Raw genomic sequence first — 21,115 nt, 5'->3', positions numbered from 1 at the left:
TGCACAAGTGACAACCTGTTAACATTCAGTTTGGCACATCAGCATGCATGCAGGCTTTTGGGTGTAGATGACTCAAATTGAAAGTAGTGGTGAATGGATAGTCATGTGAAGACTGTTTAGAAAATGAGTTTTGAAAACTGAGAGGGTGTCAGATAGCCGAGGCTTTGAATACTACTTGTGCCATTTATAACTGAGAAACTTAGGTAAGTTACTTACACTCTAATTTTTGGTTTAAACATGGTTTAAGACATAAATCAAACTAATAATGGATTCTTCTACTGAATTTATTATTGTAGAGTTGTGTAAGTCAAAAGTTGACATGGATCTCACTGAGCTAAAATCAAGGAATCACCAGGCTGCATTTCTTTATGGAGGGGCTAGGGAAAAATCAATTATCTTCTTTTCTCCTTCTGGAGGCTTTCCACATTCCTTGGCTTGTAGCCTCCTTCTGCCATCTTCAAAGCCAGCAACAGTGGATCAAATCCTTCTCATGCTGCCATCTCTCTGGTTCTCTACTTTTAAAGACCCGTGTGACTATATTGGATCCACCCAGCTAATCCATCTAATCTTGCCATCTCAAGTTATTTAACTTTAATCACATCTGCAAAGTCCCTTTGCAATGTAAGGTGACATATTCACAGGTTCCAGGCATTAAGACATAGGTATCTTTAGGGGCCATTATCCTGTCTACCACAAACACTTGGCCTAGTATCATGGATGTAGAATGCATAATAAAATATTATTGTTCTTGTTATTTATTGTTTTTATTACATTATGAAGAAGAAAATATCTCAGGCCATGACATTTTCAGTAGTGAAACAGATTTGATAGTGGAGAGGAGATAATATCGGAAGCAGGGAGAATGGTTAGGAAACTACTGAAGTTACCCAAGTGAGAGATAATTGTGACTTAAATAAAGGTGACATTTCTGGAGATGATAAACAGTGATCAATTTCTGATTGTATTTTTCAAAGAGATTGACATAATTTACCAATGGATTAAATGCAGGGTGTAAGAGACAGAAACTGAGAATGAATCAAAGACCCATATGCCCAAGTGTGGTCCAAATTGGTGGGAATATCTAAGGATCTAAAGAGGCCATAAGGAGAAAAGATGGACAACTTATAGCAATCTATGCATTCTATTTATTAAAGACTAATGAGAGTGATAGTAAACTGACAGAAGGTGACATCATTGGCCAAGTCAATCACCCACCTACCTGCAATTTTTCTTGGTATAATACAAGATTTTCAAAATTTGACTATAAGTAGAGAGAACCCCAAATTATTGTGACTAATTCTCTTCAACCTGGTAGGTTGGGACTTCAAAATACGAAATAGGTCAAATTATAAAAAAGTAAATGAAACCGTATTTTATACACAAGTAAGTTGTGAACCAAGATTTTTACCTACTGTATTCACCAAGCATTTGGTTCATGCCTCTAGGATAACCTTATCATTGGTTAACATGTAATTATTGGTTAACCTGTCTATCTTCTACACTAAAATCCTAAACAGTAAGAATTATGGTGTATTCTTAAAAAAAAAAACTCTATCACTGAGTATAATGTTTAGAATATGGGACATTCTTATGAAATATTTACTGGATATATGTATGGATGAGTAAATGAATTATTTTTTATCTGTAAGAGAAAGACTGCTGCTGCAAAGAACCACAGGTGGGCTAATGAAACCATACTGCTGTGAATAATCATAGATACTGAGGAGTTAAGGGGTGGAGTTGGACTCTCACTCATAATGGGAGATGTCATTTAGCAATTTGCTACAATATTTCGTTTTTTAAAATCTCCTTCAGAGTGACTGCTAGTGATTATGAGGTTCCTTTTAAGGGTAATAAAAAATGTTCTAAAATTGAATTGTGATGATGGTTCTTGCACAGTTCTGTGACTTTACTAAAAAAAATTGAATCATACACTATAAATGGGTGAATTTTATAGTATGTGAATGATATAACAATAAAGCTGTTAAATAAAAAAGCTTTTGAGTGAAATGACACATGAAAAAAAGGTTACATCAGCCCATAAAGCACATAGCCACCGTAAGTAATTGCATAATGGAACAGATATAAAAGGACTGTATGAGGCAAAAGAAGTCTTCTGGGAATCTCCACACCCTGAAGACACAGTGAGTTAGCACCACCACCAGGAATTGGCCTTTCAGCTCTGTGCCTGTCTCCAGTCAGGCTGGAATAAGTCTCCTCATATTTGCAAGCTCGGCCCTCCCCTGGAATCTAAAGCCTCCTCAGCCTTCTGAGTCAGCCTGAAAGGAACAGGCCGAACTGCTGTATGGGCTCTGTAAGTAAAACTGTTTTGTTCAATGAAAATGCTTGACTCTAGATGAATTGGACTTTCTCACCCACAGGGAGTAATTTCCTCACAATGTGCAGAATTAGATTAGATGTTGGTATGGTGGGCTGAGGAGGACGGTAGAATTTCAGAATTATTTATTCCCAGGAAATACGTAGAGAATGGGTATTTCGTTCTGCCTGATATAGGTTAGATAACTTGTTTTTAGTCAAATGGTTTAATCAGTGTGCTGATATATTTATCACAGTCAGTGAATCTCATTTCTATGCCCAATAACTATTACTAAAAATGAAAAGTTACCAATTTCGAACGCATTGCCTGCCAGCTACTGGTATTAGACACAGCGCATATCCTGTCTTATAGATGAGGAAACTGGGTCACAGAAAGTTTATATTACTTGTAGATTTCAGTAAAACAATTGTTTTTGAGAGCACGAGCTTTGGAATTAAAAAGACCTGAGTTAAAAATTCAGCTCTGACTTTCACCAGTTGTATGTGATTTCAAATATGTTTCAGACTTCTGATACTCAGTGTCTTTACCAGAAAAATGAATTTAAAGTGAATCTAATAATACTTGTCACATGATGACATAGTAAGAATTAAAATAATGCTTATAAAGCACTGAGGACAATAATGTTCACAGAACACGTGTCCAGTAAATGGTAGCTATTTCTATGAGTAATATTTTTATTAATGGTGTAGATGGTCTCAAAACTAGTTAGTGTTTGAGCAAGAATCTGAACCCAGGTCAGTCACACATGATAGCCATACCATTGACAATAGCATGGAGAATACTGATGACACTATAAGGTCTAGTTCAGCAGATTAAGACAGCCACAAGCTATAGCTTATAATAGTGCAATGAAAGAGGAGCATCATTGTAATCCGAGTGGGCAGAAAAATTAGTTGAGAGAATATAGCTTATTTCACAAGAGAGAAAATGAAAGTATATATGGATTGGAGAGGATGGGTCGGAAAGATTCTAGAGTGAAGGCAGCACAAAAGAGAAGCTTGGGGGAAATTTAGTGCCTCCTTCTAAGGATATTCATTAGTCCCCCTCTTGTCTTGAATATAAACACTTAAGATTTTTTCAATGTAAGAAAAATGCAATGAAATAATAGCTGCAAATACCCACTACTAACAATTGCTTGGCCTTCTTATATAGACCTCCCGAGGTTCTCATCTTTTACATTTCAGGAGTAGAATCAGTTAAAAACTAATCTTTATATGTAAGGGATGAGAGAGAGAAAGAGGAGGGTATGTGTGTGCACACATGTGTGTGTGTGTGGTGGGTAGTAATTTTAATTCAATGATTTACTAGAGTTCGATGTCGTTTGCTGATAAATGAAGCAGGAGGAAGAGCCAGGTTTGGAGGGGACGAGAGAATGAGTTCCATTTGTCTCATATAGAAGTTGAAGTAACTGAGTGATGATGGGTAGAGATGTCCCTCAGGGGTAGCCACAGTATTTTATTTACTTTTTATTCACCACATGCAGCAAGGAGCTTTGTTCTCCAAAATGCTGTCAATTATTTTTCTAAATTACAGGTTTGATTGCTTCACTGTATTTTCATGTCTCATTACTACCTTTACGCTTAAAACCAGAAACTTTGCCACAGCGTTAAAGATTCTGCTAACTTTTAAAATACAGAACTCTGGAGATGCCATAATTAGATTGCAGATTTATGAGTCTTCTGGATATAAGTGCTATTTAAAGCCATGAGAATAACCAAGATATCTCAAGGAGAGCATATGAAAAGCAAGAAAAGAAGAGGTACTTCTTGGGAGAAAAGCAGACTCCTCTAGAATCCCACAATTTATAAGGCAGAGAACAAAACCATTGTTTAACAAACAGGAAAAAAAAAAACCTCACAGAATAACCATCACTGAAGCTAATGAAGGAGAAAGTTTCAAGGAGGAGGAGGTAAACATTGCTGAAAGTTGAGATGAGGGAGAGAAAAACAAATCTGAGATTAAACTTTTGGACTTGGCATGTAGAAAATCACGGGTGACATCATTTGGAGGATTTTCAGAGTCATTAGGGAAAGAATTCAGATTGTTACTGAAGGTGAAGGAATAATAAACAAAAGCAGACTGTTCTCCAAAGGAATTTTTATCCTTATAAAAGATACAGCAGGAAATTGAGAGAGAAACAGGGCTTATGTCTTGTATCCCTCACTATCAAAGCACAAGGCTAATTATGAAAACTATTCAATATATCCTGGTTGAAATGAATTGTTTGGAAATATCTATACAAAACTGTGGGAAGCTTTTATTGTTGAGTTAGAGTAAAACTTGAGTATTGCAGACTTCAAAAAAGCAACCAATGGCACTAAACAAGATACTAAAGAGGGAAAGGAATTTTGTTGGCATTAAATGAGAAGAGATGGAAAATGATTTATTTATTAAAAGCAAAGCTCCTTGCTTCCAGTGGTCAATAAAAGGTGAATAAAATGTTAGAAATGTCTGGCTCTTGATGCTCTGCAAAAATTTAAGTTCATTACACTGTCCATGGAATTCAAGATTTTCATGATTTGACCTCTGGTGCTTTCTCTAGCTTCATTTCCCACAGCACCTAGCCTCACATTTAAGACTTCGATATACCCCTTCTCTTGTAGTTATCCAACAAACTGGCTTATGTTATTCTTTCATTCATGTCTCTCCTCATTTTATCAACGGCACTGCAAAAGCACACTTCCCCTGTTTTTCATCCTTATAAACTCACATTTACCCATCAAAACTTCACACAGTTATAAAGCATACATTCTGTTAACATTCTTGGAACTAGTTCTTCTTGACACACACAGACACATTCATGTATGCACACACTCCAAATCTGCCACTCCACACTATTATCTCTTCTGCCTTATCAATTAGATACATCCTATCCTTATACACTCTACAACTAGTAGCATTTATCTGTTTGTTTCTGTTACTGCTGATAGACGCTGTCTGGCATGTAGTAGATATTTAAAATTAGTCATTTTTTATTTTCAGTAAGAGTCCCTAGACTCTTGACACAGCAAGCTCAGCTCCCTGCATATGTGTGTGTGTGTGTGTGTGTGTGTATATATATATGTATGTGTGTGTGTATATATATATACGTATATATGTGTGTGTGTATATATATATATGTGTGTGTATATATATATATACACGTATATATATGTATAGTTTAGTTCAGTTTGAACTGAACTAAGTGTTTCTGGTTGATAGGAGCTAAAGTGGAGTTATTGGCTAGGAAAAAGAATAAGGTACCCTCTGTCTCTGAGCCCAGCGTGAACGTAGGAAGGATGCAGGAAGATATGCTTGTAAAGTGATGGAAAGGAGAGAAGTCATTTTTTTTTTGCTAGGCCCAACACAGATCAGGTCAAAATATATACACTATGGTTTTCTTTTGTTTTGTTTATGATCTCTTGGCAAGAAGGAGGAAAAAAACTACCAAGAAGAATGAAAATAGGCAATGAATAAATTGTTGAAATGAGGTAATGGGAGATATGAAGAAGTTAGGATGAAAGAGAAATTATTCAAATAGCAATTTAATTTTTTTAAGTGGTTACATAAAATGTCCTACAACACAATGACAAAAATTACAACTCAGATATTGCGTAGGAACTAAAAATCATGAAAGCCAGAATTAATTGACATAAATGGAGCCCCTCTGTACTTTCATAACCATTTTTATTATTCATCGCTGTATATGAGATATTGAAATTATTGAAAAACGGTTCTGCTCTTTCTGCCTCACTGGATTATAAACTCTCTAAGTGGGGTTTTATTTGTGTTGTCCTTTAGCTTCTAAAATAGCACTATGTAAGATCCAGATACTCAGTTAATGTCCCTGAGATAGTAAAGCAAGATCAAGAGAAGTGTTACAAGTGCACTGTTGCTCAACAGTTTTTTGTTTGTTTGTTTGTTTTTTGAAACGGAGTCTCGCTCTGTCGCCCAGGTTGGAGTGCAATGGCGCCATCTCGGTTCACCTGGAAGCTCCGCCTTCCAGGTTCACTCCATTCTCCTGCCTCAGCCTCCCCAGTAGCTGGAACTACAGGCGCCCGCCACCACGCCCGGCTAATTTTTTGTATTTTTAGTAGAGACGAGGTTTCACCATGTTAGCCAGGATGGTCTCGATCTCCTGACCTCGTGATCCGCCCACCTCGGCCTCCCAAAGTGCTGGGACTACAGGCGTGAGCCACCGCGCCCAGCCTGCTCAACACTTTTACACATGCCGTTCTGAAAGCCTGGGAATTCTTCGTCTCAACTTACATAAAACACAGAAATCTTTCAAGCACTGCTTTTTCTAGAAAGCCTTCTCCAAATACTACAAACCTACTGAATGCTCTCTTTCTGGTAATTCCTTTTTAGTGTGTTTTGGTTTTTCAAAATCATTTTATCTTATTTCTAGTTGACAAATAATATGGTATATATTTGTGGGGTAAAATGTGATGTTGTTATACATGTATGCATTGTGGAATGACCAAATCAAGCTAATTATCATATCCATCACCTCAAATATTTATCATTTCTTTGTGCTGTGAACATTTAAAATTCTCTCTTTTAGTTTTTTTGAAATATACTATACATTAACTATAATTCTTATTTCTCTAAGAGGTTTGATCATACATTTTAGATATTTTCATCACTCGCCTGAGGACACTGTCATTACTGTAAATTTCAGAATCTAAAGCTATAGTTTCATTATTTGGCCAAATCGTGTAATCTATAATTTCTTGTTTTTCATCTAGTTTTCTGTTAATTTTAGTTAAATCACACCCCCACCCCCCCTTTTTTTTTCACTAAGACTTCTTCCGGTGATCCTTGAGGTGGCACTTTATCAGGGTGAATGTGTGAGTCTGGATACGTTGAGGTTCCTCTCCATCCTCTCTTTTGTCAACACTTACTGTCAGCCACCCAGCACCCTTTCTTTTCCTCTGAAGAAGTTACCCTGCAACTGGCTCTCTCTCATTGATTGAGCCCTCTGCAGCCACAACCCTAATCTCTGTTTTTCCCTAGACCCCCGTCTTCAACTCAACCATACCCATCTATCTACCTTTCTGCAATTCTCTACTCTATGAAAAAAGAAATGTGATGTTTGCAATAAAGTTATATTTTTCCCTCCGAAACAAAACAGTAACATTCAATTAGGTATCTCCTAAGAAGTATGTCTTAACAAAATAGAGAGATTCTGTTCTGGAGAACTAGTCTTCCAGCAGACTGAAGAGAGAACTGTGTTGGAACGTGGCAGCACATTATATCAGGTGGGGGCAGCCTCCTGTCTTCCTAAGCCTGGTGGGAGGTCTGTGTTCTAACCATCTCTTCCAAATATGATGCCGGGTATCATATTGTAAGGGTTTCTTTAATGGTTAGATGCTGAAGCCATTTATTTGTCACTTCCTATGTGTTACTTTGTATTATAATGATCTCTTTCTTCATATTTTCTGGCTTCCCAAATTGTCTGTAAGCTTCTCTGCTTTCCACACTTATGACCAATGTAATATTGCTGTTCCACAGCCCCAGTGTATTTTTCTCTGGTGCCAACCATAGAGGAAAAATAATGCACTACCTCTTTAGCACAATTTAAACATGCCATAAAGAATGAAATATGATTGGCAAACTCAGGGTAAAGTGTTTATTCTTAGTTTGGTTATCTATGGCTAGAACGATCAGAGGAGTGGTCACATGATATAAACATAGCTGCCAGCAAAGGGCCCTAGAGAAGAAAGATTGTACACTAAGGCAAATTCAAAAACAAACCAAAGTGCCCACTACAGCAGTTGAAATCTGACATTTTTTAATCAATTTAAATGAGCCATTCATAGTTTCATATTATATAAATACTCATCAGTTTTCTGTACAATAAAATTATTTTAATTCGATCAATACACAAATGAATGTAGCTTTTTTTTGTTTAAGCTCTCATCTCGTTCTGTACTTTTAATTCATCACGTCAACTTTGCAGAATATCACCTCCACTTCCATCATTTTCCTGCTCACTGGTGTTCCTGGGCTGGAAGCCTTCCACACCTGGATCTCCATTCCCTTCTGCTTCCTCTCTGTAACTGCTCTCTTGGGAAACAGCCTGATCCTCTTCGCTACCATCACTCAGCCCAGCCTCCACGAACCAATGTACTATTTCCTCTCCATGCTGTCCGCCACTGACCTCGGCCTGTCCATATCCACTCTGGTCACCATGCTGAGTATATTCTGGTTCAATGTGAGGGAAATCAGCTTTAATGCCTGCTTGTCCCACATGTTCTTTATTAAATTCTTCACTGTCATGGAATCCTCAGTGCTGTTGGCCATGGCTTTTGATCGTTTTGTGGCCGTCTCTAATCCCCTTAGGTATGCCATGATTTTAACTGACTCCAGAATAGCTCAAATTGGAGTGGCAAGTGTCATCAGGGGGCTCCTAATGCTGACACCAATGGTAGCACTTCTTATAAGACTTTCCTACTGCCACAGCCAAGTACTCCACCACTCCTACTGCTACCACCCTGATGTGATGAAGCTCTCATGCACAGACACCAGAATCAACAGTGCAGTTGGGCTGACTGCCATGTTCTCTACTGTTGGTGTAGACTTACTTCTCATCCTCCTTTCTTATGTTTTGATCATTAGGACTGTCCTTAGCGTTGCTTCCCCAGAAGAGAGGAAGGAAACCTTCAGTACATGTGTCTCCCACATTGTGGCTTTTGCTATATATTACATTCCATTGATCAGTCTGTCCATTGTTCACAGATTTGGGAAACAAGCCCCAGCCTATGTACATACTATGATTGCTAACACCTACCTGCTGATCTCCCCTTTGATGAACCCTGTCATCTACAGTGTGAAAACCAAACAGATACGTAGAGCTGTGATAAAAATTCTCCATTCCAAAGAAACATAAAATTGTAGAATTCTAGCACTAGATGGACCCCTCAAGATGGTATACTTCAGGTCATGTTTCCAATTAAAAACAAAAAACAACCAAAGAACTGGTGCCCATTGAAGCTAAGCACATAATCATTTAAAGTTAAAGCTGGAATGTATCTAGAACATCAGCTAGTTTGACTACTTTATTTTCCAGATGAGGAGGTGAAGACATGGGATGGAAGAGATGAACAGCCTAAAATTAGCCTTATATATAAAATTTCTCCTTCTCACACCACTGTTGGGTCCAAACTGTTGTTGCCTTCTGTCCCTGCCAACACCCTTTCTGTTATTATCTCATCTACTTCATAGCCTTTAGAATGACACATTACAGAAAAGTCACTCCTTTGTGAGAAATAGGTAGTATTTTCCAACTGTTCTAGTAATTTCGATTGCCATTTATTATTTGCTCTGACAAGTCATGGTTCTAAGTGTTTTTTGTATGTATTAACATATTTTATATCTAAAACAATGTTATAAGATAATCACTTTAATTATCAATAAGAAAATTGAGGCATGAAATGTTAAGTAGCTTGCTTAAACAGCTAGTAACTGGTGTTGCTGATGGCAGAGCACATCCATGCAGACTGACTCCAGAGTCCCCCACACTCTTAATTTTAATGTTATATTGCTACCTATAATATAATATATAGGTATATAATTTATATATAATTTATATTTGTAAAAATTATATGAACTTATATATATAAACTTATATTTATAAATTATGTACTTATATGTGTAAATTATATTTATATTTATAAATATAAATATAGAGAGAAGTTCAGGCAATTTTTACTAGGAAACATAAAGAAGTAAAAAAATTAATTAAAAAAAACCACAACTCTATCCTCTAGAAATTTTCAGTCAAATTAGGGAGAAAAAGCCCAAATCAAATCTTCATACCTTACAGATATATTTCTACCTGATGATCTTTCCTGACTCAAGCATATTTCAGCATTTCTGTCAACCCTCCATCAACATTCTGCCCCAGCAGAAATGGAAAGTGACTACAAATGAATTATGGTCATTTACTTATGAATTTTTAAATTTGTGTCATAATGGTCATGTAATGGCTCAATTCAGAAAGATAATTCATTCCACCCTGGGTGTGTCCATTAATTCTCAAAATTTTTAAAGCATATATTTCAATGCCACACTAATATCACTAATTTAAGATGGGCTGTATAGTTGGTATCAGGTCCAGAAAGGAAGTAGAAGTAATCATTCGTATCTACAGGCTTGCCCCCTCGCTTTATGGAGATCTCTGCCAACTGCACCTTATTACAGGGCCCTTGATGTTATAATAATTATAATAGCAATACCTCTCCCTCAGTTTCTTCCTGTATTCACTCTCATCCTTACCTGCCTTATTTTTAATTTTTAGCATTTTTATTCCCCAACATATTACATATAGGCTGTTTCTTTTCTGGTTTCCTCATCATTCCCTGTAGGAAATTTATTAAGTGACTATAGTATTTATAGTACTGTAAGAATTATGTCAAATCCTCAGCCTGTTTGACAACAACATTTCAGTTTCAATTATTGTTACTCTTCATCTTTATATGTTGCAATGTCCTGGGACTTTGTTCTCAGACCTTTTTGCTTTGTCATAATCCCTTCCTTGGTCATCCCATCCAGTATCATGTCTTTAAGTACCATCTCTATGCTGACAAAATCCAAATTAATATTTGTAGTTCAGACTTATCCCACTGCCTGTGTATCAATATCACTACTTGAATGTTTCATAATCATCTTAGAATCAACGTCTAATATATACTAATATCCCCATCAAGGAAAAAGCATGCTCACCCACAGTCTTCTCTAACTCAGTAACTCTACCTTCCAATGTGTTGAGACAAAGCACTTGGAGTTATCCCTGATGCCTTTCTATCACCCCGATGCTACATCTAACCTTTTAGTAAATCCTGGTGACCCTTTCTTCTAGATCTCTCTGATATTGATGTCTAAAATCAAGTCAATTTATACCATCTCTACTGCTACCACTGTGATGCAAGCCATCATCTTGGACCTGAATTATTATAACAGCTTTCTGGTGGTCCTTCCTTCATCCACGTTTGCTTTACAGTCTATTTCCCCCCACAGTGAAGTTAGACTGATTAGTTTAATGCACAAGGCAGATCAAGTTCAATATACCCCAAGGGCATCCTGTCTTACCCAGGAAAAATTCACAGTCACTATAAAAGCATATAAATATCTATATGATCTATATTTCCTCCATCAGCCCAATATCATCTTCTACTACTCTGCCAGTGATTCACTCTATGTCACCCACACTAGCTTCCAAATATTTTCTTAAACTCATCAAGCATGCTTCAACATCAGAGTTCACACATGCTATTCTCACAACCTGGAATGTTCGTCCTCCAGAGACCCACGTGACTTACACCTCACTTTAGACAGATCTCTGCTCAAGTGCACCCCATTACAGGGCCCTTGATGTTATAATAATAACAACAACAACACCTCTCCCTCAATTCCTCCTGAATTCACTCTCATCTTTATCTGCCTTATTTTTAATTTTTAGCATTTTTATACCCCAGTATATCACATATATGTTATTTATTTTCTAGTTTCATTACTACAACATGATGTTTTTGAGAATAAAGAATTTGTTCCATTTATGCTATCTCCCAGCCCTAAAACAGGGCCTGCCTGCCACATAGTAAAAATAGTAAAATGTCTTAATGATCTGGCTCTGTTTACCTCTTAAGCTTCATTGCTTCCCCTCTGTACAATGCCCCAGAGACAACAAACAACCTGCATGTCCTAAGTCCCAGCAAAGAATCCCCTGACCCTTTTAAGCCTACCTCCACCTAGAATATTCTCACTCCCTTCCTTCTCCTGACTTAGAATAGAAGGGGCTCTCCTTCAGGGACTTTTCCTGACCTCTCTGGTCTGCCTGGTGCCCTTTCCAGGTGCTCCTACAGCACCTTGTTCTTCTCTCTCAAGACAACTCTTTCCAAACTCTCTTGTCACCATTCTCCCCACAACAAACTCTGAGCTCACTTCTCGGGGCCAGGCACTGGGTCTGTTCACTGCTGTTTCCACATTTCTATCTATAGTGTCTGGTCCATTGTAACTTTTACTCTTCATTGAATTAATGAAGAAATACTATCTTTGATGTGTAAGGATTCAGATGGCACACAAGAAGATAACAAAGTTCTTTTATACCAGAAAGTTCTTCATATCTACAAATATACTTTCATGAAATTTCACATTTTGGAGAATACTGTGCCAAGTACTGCCATTTAGTATAAAACGTTTGCTCCTTTTCATATGACCTAGTATACCCTGATCCTAATCTTGTGAAGCTTTATTTCCACTTCCCAACATAAAACTTGCTTTGTCTAGTGAATGAATGTAGGTAAGAGTAAAAATTAGGAGGCCACTTTAAAGAGGTGTTTTATATTTTGAATAAACTGCCAGTTTATTTCTACATATTTCTTTCCCCTTCTATTCCCTAATACGTACCCCTGCAGATCATCTTTTCATATCTATAACTCACAATGAAGCAAAAACAAAAATCCAGAGAAGCTACAGGCAGGTCCAAAGTGGAAAGATGGAAAAGCTCAGATGATACAGGCCTACAGACTAGATTTTTTGTTTATTTGTTTCTGTACACTACTACTACAAAGGATAGCAAATAGAGCTGAAGGAAAAGGATGGAGATACTCAAAGTCCTAAAAATGGAAAGGAGAAAAGGGAATGTCAACCTCAAGGACAACTGAGATGTTCACAGAACTTCTGCAGATTCTCGTCCCCCACCTCACCTCACAAATGCTAACCTGTGGACAGTCCTCCTGTCCAACAGTCCTGGCAGCTTATAAGCTTCCATCTATAGGAAATTGGTAATGTAGACACCGAGACTGGGTGGGTTGCAGAACAAATGTCATGCTCTGACCAAGATGGATAAGCTCACAATGAGTTGGGGACTTTCCTAAAAGCCAGAGCACTAGTAGTCACATGGCCACTGTTGTAGCTACGTGAACATGGTAGTGGTGGTGAAGATGGAAATAAGAGGAAACATGCAAAAGATTTTTAGAAGGAAAAATAGACAAGATCGGTTGAATAATTGGATGTGAAGGATGAGGAAATGCTATGTATCTTAAGTTCCTGTCTCACATGACTAAATTCATAAGCACTTCCACTTCGTCCTCCTCAAATTCACCCTCCCAACAGCTTCTGGAATAGCAATCTGAAACACATGTCTAGTTGTGATGTCCCTGCTTAAAACCATTTATTCACCTCCCAATTCCTACAGGATGAAGTCCTTGAGTTCACAGCATATCATCAGTTCACATCCATTGACCTCTCCAGTTTCTCTTTCCTTTTTGGTTGACTCTATGCTTCAGCCAAGCTACAACTCTTCGTAATTCTTCTATAGAAAATTCTGTTTCTTTCATGATTTTCTGCCTGCTGAAATACCCTCTTTTTGGACCCACCCAATGACTAAATAAATACCCTTCTCAAGTTCCTATAAAAATCTGTGGCATTCACTGCTCTTTCATACCATTTCAGGTTTGTTTGGGTAGGTGTGTATGACCACCCTGAAGGCAAGGACTTTGTCTTATTCACCTCTGGCACCCTAAACTCAGCACAGTGCCTGCACAAAACTAGCCTTGAGAATGTGCTTATTACACAATGAATGAATTAATTAACTCCATTGCCAGATATAGATGACCAATAAATACTTAATGGCTGATGGAAGTACTTCTGTTTCTGTGTTCAAAGATTACAGTGACAATGACAAAGCAAGACTCATGTGTGAGGCATACTTAGAAAGGATGGCAGATAGAACAGGTTAGTGTTAAATATTAATAAAGTATGAAGGTAACCCTGCTGGGTATGACGTAGGGGACACGTCACTGGAAGACAGCCATCAAGCATCATGAGGTACTGAGGATACCTCAATATCCTGGAGAAGGTAGTTGGGGTGAGTTTTTTTTATCTATTTTGCTTATAACATTGTAAGCCTTTGACAAACATTTGTTTAATGTGAATAAACAGTCGGAATACCTGGTTCTCCAACCAATATTATCACTAATTAACTATATGACCTAGGACAAAAAGCTGTCATATCATCTGGGCTTTATCTGTAATCTAGGAGCAATGAAGAGCAGCTTTGATACATTAAGGGCTGTTTTGTTAACCAGAAGAAAGGTTAGGGAAAGATATGGAGAATTGCATGCCCCTATTTTGAATTATGGAACTATACTTTTGTATTTTTAGAGAGGATGCAAACTCCTAAAGCCCAAGGACCATGCCTAGTCACATATGATGTCTGCTGCGTCTAGCAGAGTGGCACATGAAGAAACACACTAATCCTGTGGCTGACTGTGTGTGCTTGGTTTAGCTTGGAGAAGTGGGAGCAGATTGTCGAGAGCCCTGTATATGTGAGTGTGGAAGTGATGGAAGAGGCAGTGGGTGCTTTGAGGTTGCTCTCCCTGGACAGGAACAGTGGGAAGCCCATGGGAATGGCACACAAGTGGACATGGAGATGTTTTTCCTCTGTCTGCCAAGTCCCTGGGGCCTCAGTTCATACTCTCACTGCCTGTTCCCATGGGCTTTCTGAGTGGCATTATTAAAAAGGCCTGAACCAGAAAGCAAAACCAGCTCCAGCTGCTCTTTCTAAGTAGGACTGTACCATTCTCAGGTGAGTGCACCCTTACCTGGGGTCAGGCAGGCTTAGCTCCTGCCATCCTAAGGGACCTTGAAGACCCCACATACTGTTTCAAGTCAGGGCAGGGAGAAGCCCTTGTGTCCCATCCACAGCTTTATGGGCTGGGAAGAAATGTCCCAGAGTCTTAGCTAACAATCAGGAAAGGCAAGTGAGAATGAATGCAACAGTCACATTCGGACCCAAAGAGAAACTGAAATTGGGTTTAGCAGGGAGTCTACTTTAGGCAGGATGCCAGGCAACATGGGAAGGTGACGTGAGGTCTTTCAGGACAGGTATTTTGGGAAATGAGATGATAGCCTAAAGTCCTATACTCGAGTAAGCATGTGCAGGTACCAGCAAGGCAGAAAATATGCTCTGCAGAGAGAGGGCTTAAGAAAGTACCCAGCTCTGGGTCCAATAAAGACTCTTGTTATCTGTCAGCACTGCATGTGGTAGCATGGGCAAAAGGCATTAAGAAAGTAAATATACGTCCCTGTGTTCCCCTTGCTCTCCCTCCATGCCTGCTCTTTTCTTCACCCTGGGTCCCATTTCTCTGGAACACAGTGGTCTAGTGATCTGACCTCTCTTCAGGGAAGGTTCCTTAGTTCTGTCCCATATATTTCAGTATGATTTGTTTAAAGTTCTATATCCCCTTCCCCAAGCTATGACGGATACAGAAATGGATGGATGGATGCAAGATGCAAACTATCTTGTATCTCACTAAAGGATGCAATCATCTGCTTCTGAAAAGGGCTTTTCATGTTCTGATAGCAACTGGGAGCCAAATATGGGATTTAATATTTGTCAAGGAGCTTAGCTGTTTTGTCTGCACAAGTTCTGAAGGTGGAGAAGAGAAAATACAGGCAGAAGTATGGGTTTTGTAACCTTCAAACCCCAAATCTGTCCTTCTTTGCTTATCCAAGATGGGGAGAATCCAGTTCAAATCTCTTTGTACTAATTTTATCATATTGTACTTTAAGATCACTGGTATCTAACCCCTCTACATTAAGGCCAAACTGAAGGGCATCTCCCAGCTGCAGTAAGAACTCAGATGATGAGTGAAGAATTCTGGGGTTGGGGGAGTGCAATATAAGCAAGCTAACCTGTTTCAATGAAACAGATGATCAATGAAGACACTGCATCATTTGTTTCCAAAAGTTAGGCCTTGCAGCCAAGGCTTTGGCTTTTTAGAGAAAATTAGCTCTAAAGACCAGGGCACCTAGGCAACCTAGCAGAGAAGAAGTTTCATGAAGTCAGAGCCCAGGTGTTTGGGTGAGGGTAGGGAGTTGGGGCAAAGCAACACTGGGCTTCTAAAAAAGAAATGTCTCCCCTGAGATGAATGACTTGTTGGCACAAGTTTCAGGAAAGACAAAGCTCTAAAAATATCATTGTAAAATTAATAATACTTCTCCAAAGTAAGGACTCAACTCAAACTATCCTTGGATGCAATTAAAATGGCCTTGGAAGAAGCTTTCAGGTGCGGAGGTACTCACCAGTGTCCTGCCAGCACCTTCATCTCTGAAGAAGTCATCGGAGGGAGCCACTACCTTGATTTTATGACCACAGATGAGTTTCCTTTAATCCGAAAGAGATTGACTTTTGGCATTTTTTTCTTAGTTTTTGTTTATTTATATTCTTTTAAGCTTTAAAAAAAAGTGTCATTGCTGTGCTTCTTATTCCTCTGGCTGACTTTAGAATTGAGGACTGGGAATCCTGAAAATTTGCAAAGTTATCTCCTATCCTCACTGCCTTGGAACACCCATTATTCCACTCTGTCTAATTTCTACTCATGTTTCAAGTCTAAACAGGAAGATTCCTCTGTGATCATGCCTCTCCCTTTCTCATGAATTAAATGCATATATTATGCTAGTAATGCTTCTGGAATGAATGAATAATAGAAAGAAAGAAAGTGGGGGGAGGGAAGCAGGGAAAGTAAAATGAGAAAGGCAGCCTTATCTGGAAGGAGCTCCCAAAAGTGTATCTCTTAACACCTATCAGAAAAAAAAGGGCCAACAAATATCCAGGCAACGAAGGTATGGACCAGTAGGAAGAATCTGAGGGAATTACATTTTGGAAAAAGCATTGCTCTCCCAAGATTCCCTTTTAAAAATTTAAATAAACCTTGAGAGTAGTGATGCATAAATGAATTTGATCTGTCACAGTCCCGCCTTTGGAAGAGGGCCTCAGAGCTTATGAAAGACCCTAAGTGGGGGTGGGAGAAGACAAAAGGGGTGGGATGTCAGTTTCAAGTTTCCAGGGCATTCTCTGATTGTGCTCTATGTCCCTGCAGACTGCCAGTGTGACCTCACCCTCTCCAGTCACCCCTCCTCAGTTCCAGCTATGAGTTCCTGCAACTTCACACATGCCACCTTTGTGCTTATTGGTATCCCAGGATTAGAGAAAGCCCATTTCTGGGTTGGCTTCCCCCTCCTTTCCATGTATGTAGTGGCAATGTTTGGAAACTGCATCGTGGTCTTCATCGTAAGGACGGAACGCAGCCTGCACGCTCCGATGTACCTCTTTCTCTGCATGCTTGCAGCCATTGACCTGGCCTTATCCACATCCACCATGCCTAAGATCCTTGCCCTTTTCTGGTTTGATTCCCGAGAGATTAGCTTTGAGGCCTGTCTTACCCAGATGTTCTTTATTCATGCCCTCTCAGCCATTGAATCCACCATCCTGCTGGCCATGGCCTTTGACCGTTATGTGGCCATCTGCCACCCACTGCGCCATGCTGCAGTGCTCAACAATACAGTAACAGCCCAGATTGGCATCGTGGCTGTGGTCCGCGGATCCCTCTTTTTTTTCCCACTGCCTCTGCTGATCAAGCGGCTGGCCTTCTGCCACTCCAATGTCCTCTCGCACTCCTATTGTGTCCACCAGGATGTAATGAAGTTGGCCTATGCAGACACTTTGCCCAATGTGGTATATGGTCTTACTGCCATTCTGCTGGTCATGGGCGTGGACGTAATGTTCATCTCCTTGTCCTATTTTCTGATAATACGAACGGTTCTGCAACTGCCTTCCAAGTCAGAGCGGGCCAAGGCCTTTGGAACCTGTGTGTCACACATTGGTGTGGTACTCGCCTTCTATGTGCCACTTATTGGCCTCTCAGTGGTACACCGCTTTGGAAACAGCCTTCATCCCATTGTGCGTGTTGTCATGGGTGACATCTACCTGCTGCTGCCTCCTGTCATCAATCCCATCATCTATGGTGCCAAAACCAAACAGATCAGAACACGGGTGCTGGCTATGTTCAAGATCAGCTGTGACAAGGACTTGCAGGCTGTGGGAGGCAAGTGACCCTTAACACTACACTTCTCCTTATCTTTATTGGCTTGATAAACATAATTATTTCTAACACTAGCTTATTTCCAGTTGCCCATAAGCACATCAGTACTTTTCTCTGGCTGGAATAGTAAACTAAAGTATGGTACATCTACCTAAAGGACTATTATGTGGAATAATACATACTAATGAAGTATTACATGATTTAAAGACTACAATAAAACCAAACATGCTTATAACATTAAGAAAAACAATAAAGATACATGATTGAAACCAAGTTGAAAAATAGCATATGCCTTGGAGGAAATGTGCTCAAATTACTAATGATTTAGTGTTGTCCCTACTTTCTCTCTCTTTTTTCTTTCTTTTTTTTTTATTATGGTTAGCTGTCACATACAACTTTTTTTTTTTTTGAGATGGGGTCTCGCTCTGTCACCAGGCTGGAGTGCAGTGGCGCGATCTCGGCTCACTGCAACCTCCACATCCCATGTTGAAGTAATTCTTCTGCCTCAGCCTCCCGAGTAGCTGGGACTAGAGGAACGTGCCACCATGACTGGCTAATTTTCTGTATTTTTTAGTAGAGACAGAGTTTCACCATGTTGGCCAGGATGGTCTCGATCTCCTGACCTTGTGATCCACCCGCCTCAGCCTCCCAAAGTGTTGGGATTACAGGTGTGAACCACTGTGCCCGGCCTGTGTACAACTTTTTAAATAGGGAATATGATAGCTTCGCATGGTGGTGTGCACCTATAGCCCCCACTGCCTGGAAAGCTGAGGTGGGAGAATCGCTTGAGTCCAGGAGTTTGAGGTTACAGTGATCCACGATCGTACCACTACACTCCAGCCTGGGCAACAGAGCAAGACCCTGTCTCAAAGCATAAAATGGAATAACATATCAAATGAAACAGGGAAAATGAAGCTGACAATTTATGGAAGCCAGGGCTTGTCACAGTCTCTACTGTTATTATGCATTACCTGGGAATTTATATAAGCCCTTAATAATAATGCCAATGAACATCTCATGTGTGCTCACAATGTTCTGGCACTATTATAAGTGCTTCACAGGTTTTATGTGTTCTTCGTAACTTTATGGAGTAGGTACCATTTGTGTCTCTTTATTATAAGTGAGAGAAATGAAGTTTATATTATCAAGGGGACTAAAGTCACACGGCTTGTGGGCACTGTGCCAAGATTTAAAATTAAATTTGATGGTTGAATACAGTTACTTAATGACCATGTTATATTGCTTCCTGTGTAACATCTGCCATTTATTTCCTCAGCTGTACAAATCCTCTGTTTTCTCTCTGTTACACACTAACATCAATGGCTTTGTACTTGTGATGAGAGATAACCTTGCCCTAGTTGTGGGCAACACATGCAGAATAATCCTGTTTTACAGCTGCCTTTCGTGATCTTATTGCTTGCTTTTTTCCAGATTCAGGGAGAATGTTGTTGTCTATTTGTCTCTTACATCTCCTTGATCATGTCTTCATTTTTTAATGTGCTCTGTACCTGTCAAAAATTTTGAATGTACACCACATGCTATTGTCTGAACTTGAGTATAAGATAAAATAAAATTTTATTTTAAATTTTGCTGAGTGTTATGCCTATTGATTTTACATTTATAGAATCCTATAAATCAGAATTGGAGATGTGAGTGATTTCCTAGTCTTCTTTCTCACCAGTGCAGGAATCCTGACTGGAATGGTTCACACGTTAGTAAGGATGCTGAATGCATCTTATTTCAAGGTAGGGTATTCCCACTGTACTTTTGAGCAGATCCAGTGAGCAGCTGAGATCTGAATACAATCATTGGGCCTATATGTTCCCTCTGTAGCTTCACTAAACAAGTCTTGGGTGCAGGACTTGGGTAGATAAACCATGAGGGAGACTCTATACTGTAGGCTCTCTCTTAGGAGGAGGGAACCACAGATACTTGATGTGTACTGATGACAGATTCTGCTAGCATATAGATCTGTGAGCATTCAACTGTGCTTCATTGTTCAGAGGCAGTAAAGTGGCTTCCAAAGTCATGCAGTTAATCAATGTGCATAGGCCAGGGCTAAGGGGAGAAAACACAATGGAAGAAATGGGTGATTTCTCTAAAGAAATGAAAGTGTACCCATGCTCTGTAAAGTGGAGATTCAGGTGTTGGGCCCCACCCTCAAATAATGAGGTCAGGTGCCTCATTTTATGAGGTTAAACTCTGTTATGTCTCTCCCCACAATCTCAGTCCTCTTCTACCTTCCTGTCCGTTGCTTTACCGCAATTTGGATCCTCCAGCCTACTTCCATATGCCTAACAACATAGCCATATTGACAATTTAATGAATAGTGGATTTCTTTCTCTCTCTTCTGTGAATAGCTAATCCCTTACTGTCTCCCACTATGATAGGTTGTTTATATATTCTTACTATCTCCTCTCCCCTTTCCTCTGTCCTAAGATTTTTAACTTTTAAAAGTAGCCCAGGCTGGGCACGGTGGCTCACGCTTGTATTCCCAGCACTTTGGGAGACTGAGGAAGGTGTATCACCTGAGGCCAGTAGTTTAAGACCAGTCTGGCCAATATGGTAAAATCCCATCTCCACTAAAAATACAAAAATTAGCCAGGTATGATGGTGGGTACCTGTAATCCCAGCTACTCTGGAGGCTGAGGCAGAAGAATCACTTGAACCAGGGAGGCGGAGCTTGCAGTGAGTCCAGATCACCACCACTGCACTCCAGCCTGGGCGACAGAGTGACACTCCTTCTCAAAAAAAAAAAAAAAAAAAAAAGTAGGCCAAAGACTTCTGTGCCAATGTTCATAGCAGCATTATCCACAATAACCAAAAGGTGGAAATAACCCAAATGTCCATCAACAGATGAATGGATAAACAGAATGTGGTTTATATATACAGTGGAATATTATTCATT

At 39.4% G+C, this 21,115-nt stretch overlaps 2 protein-coding genes across 2 annotated transcripts; both read left to right on the top strand.

Moving 5' to 3' along the window:
• The first annotated feature begins 2,113 nt into the window (after positions 1-2,113).
• OR51C1 (olfactory receptor family 51 subfamily C member 1) lies at positions 2,114-9,544 on the top strand. The gene is made up of 2 exons (NM_001396051.1): positions 2,114-2,314; positions 8,280-9,544. The coding sequence occupies exons 1-2, from the start codon at positions 2,306-2,308 to the stop codon at positions 9,207-9,209; spliced, it is 939 nt and encodes a 312-aa protein (NP_001382980.1). The 5' UTR covers positions 2,114-2,305; the 3' UTR covers positions 9,210-9,544.
• OR51E2 (olfactory receptor family 51 subfamily E member 2) lies at positions 2,114-19,796 on the top strand. Its single transcript, NM_030774.4, has 2 exons — positions 2,114-2,314; positions 17,206-19,796. Exon 2 carries the CDS (start codon positions 17,256-17,258, stop codon positions 18,216-18,218), a length of 963 nt encoding a protein of 320 aa, NP_110401.1. The 5' UTR covers positions 2,114-2,314; positions 17,206-17,255; the 3' UTR covers positions 18,219-19,796.
• Positions 19,797-21,115: the final 1,319 nt, after the last annotated feature.

This window comes from Homo sapiens, chromosome 11 (genome assembly GCF_000001405.40).
Source record: "Homo sapiens chromosome 11, GRCh38.p14 Primary Assembly".
Taxonomy (NCBI): Eukaryota; Metazoa; Chordata; class Mammalia; order Primates; family Hominidae; genus Homo; species Homo sapiens.
Note: the sequence above shows the minus strand (reverse complement) of the source record. Positions and strands in the feature narration are given on the sequence as shown.

Excerpts from the sequence above, each read along its gene's own strand:
- OR51E2 (NM_030774.4), top strand. The coding sequence starts at position 17,256 with ATGAGTTCCTGCAACTTCACACATGCCACCTTTGTGCTTATTGGTATC.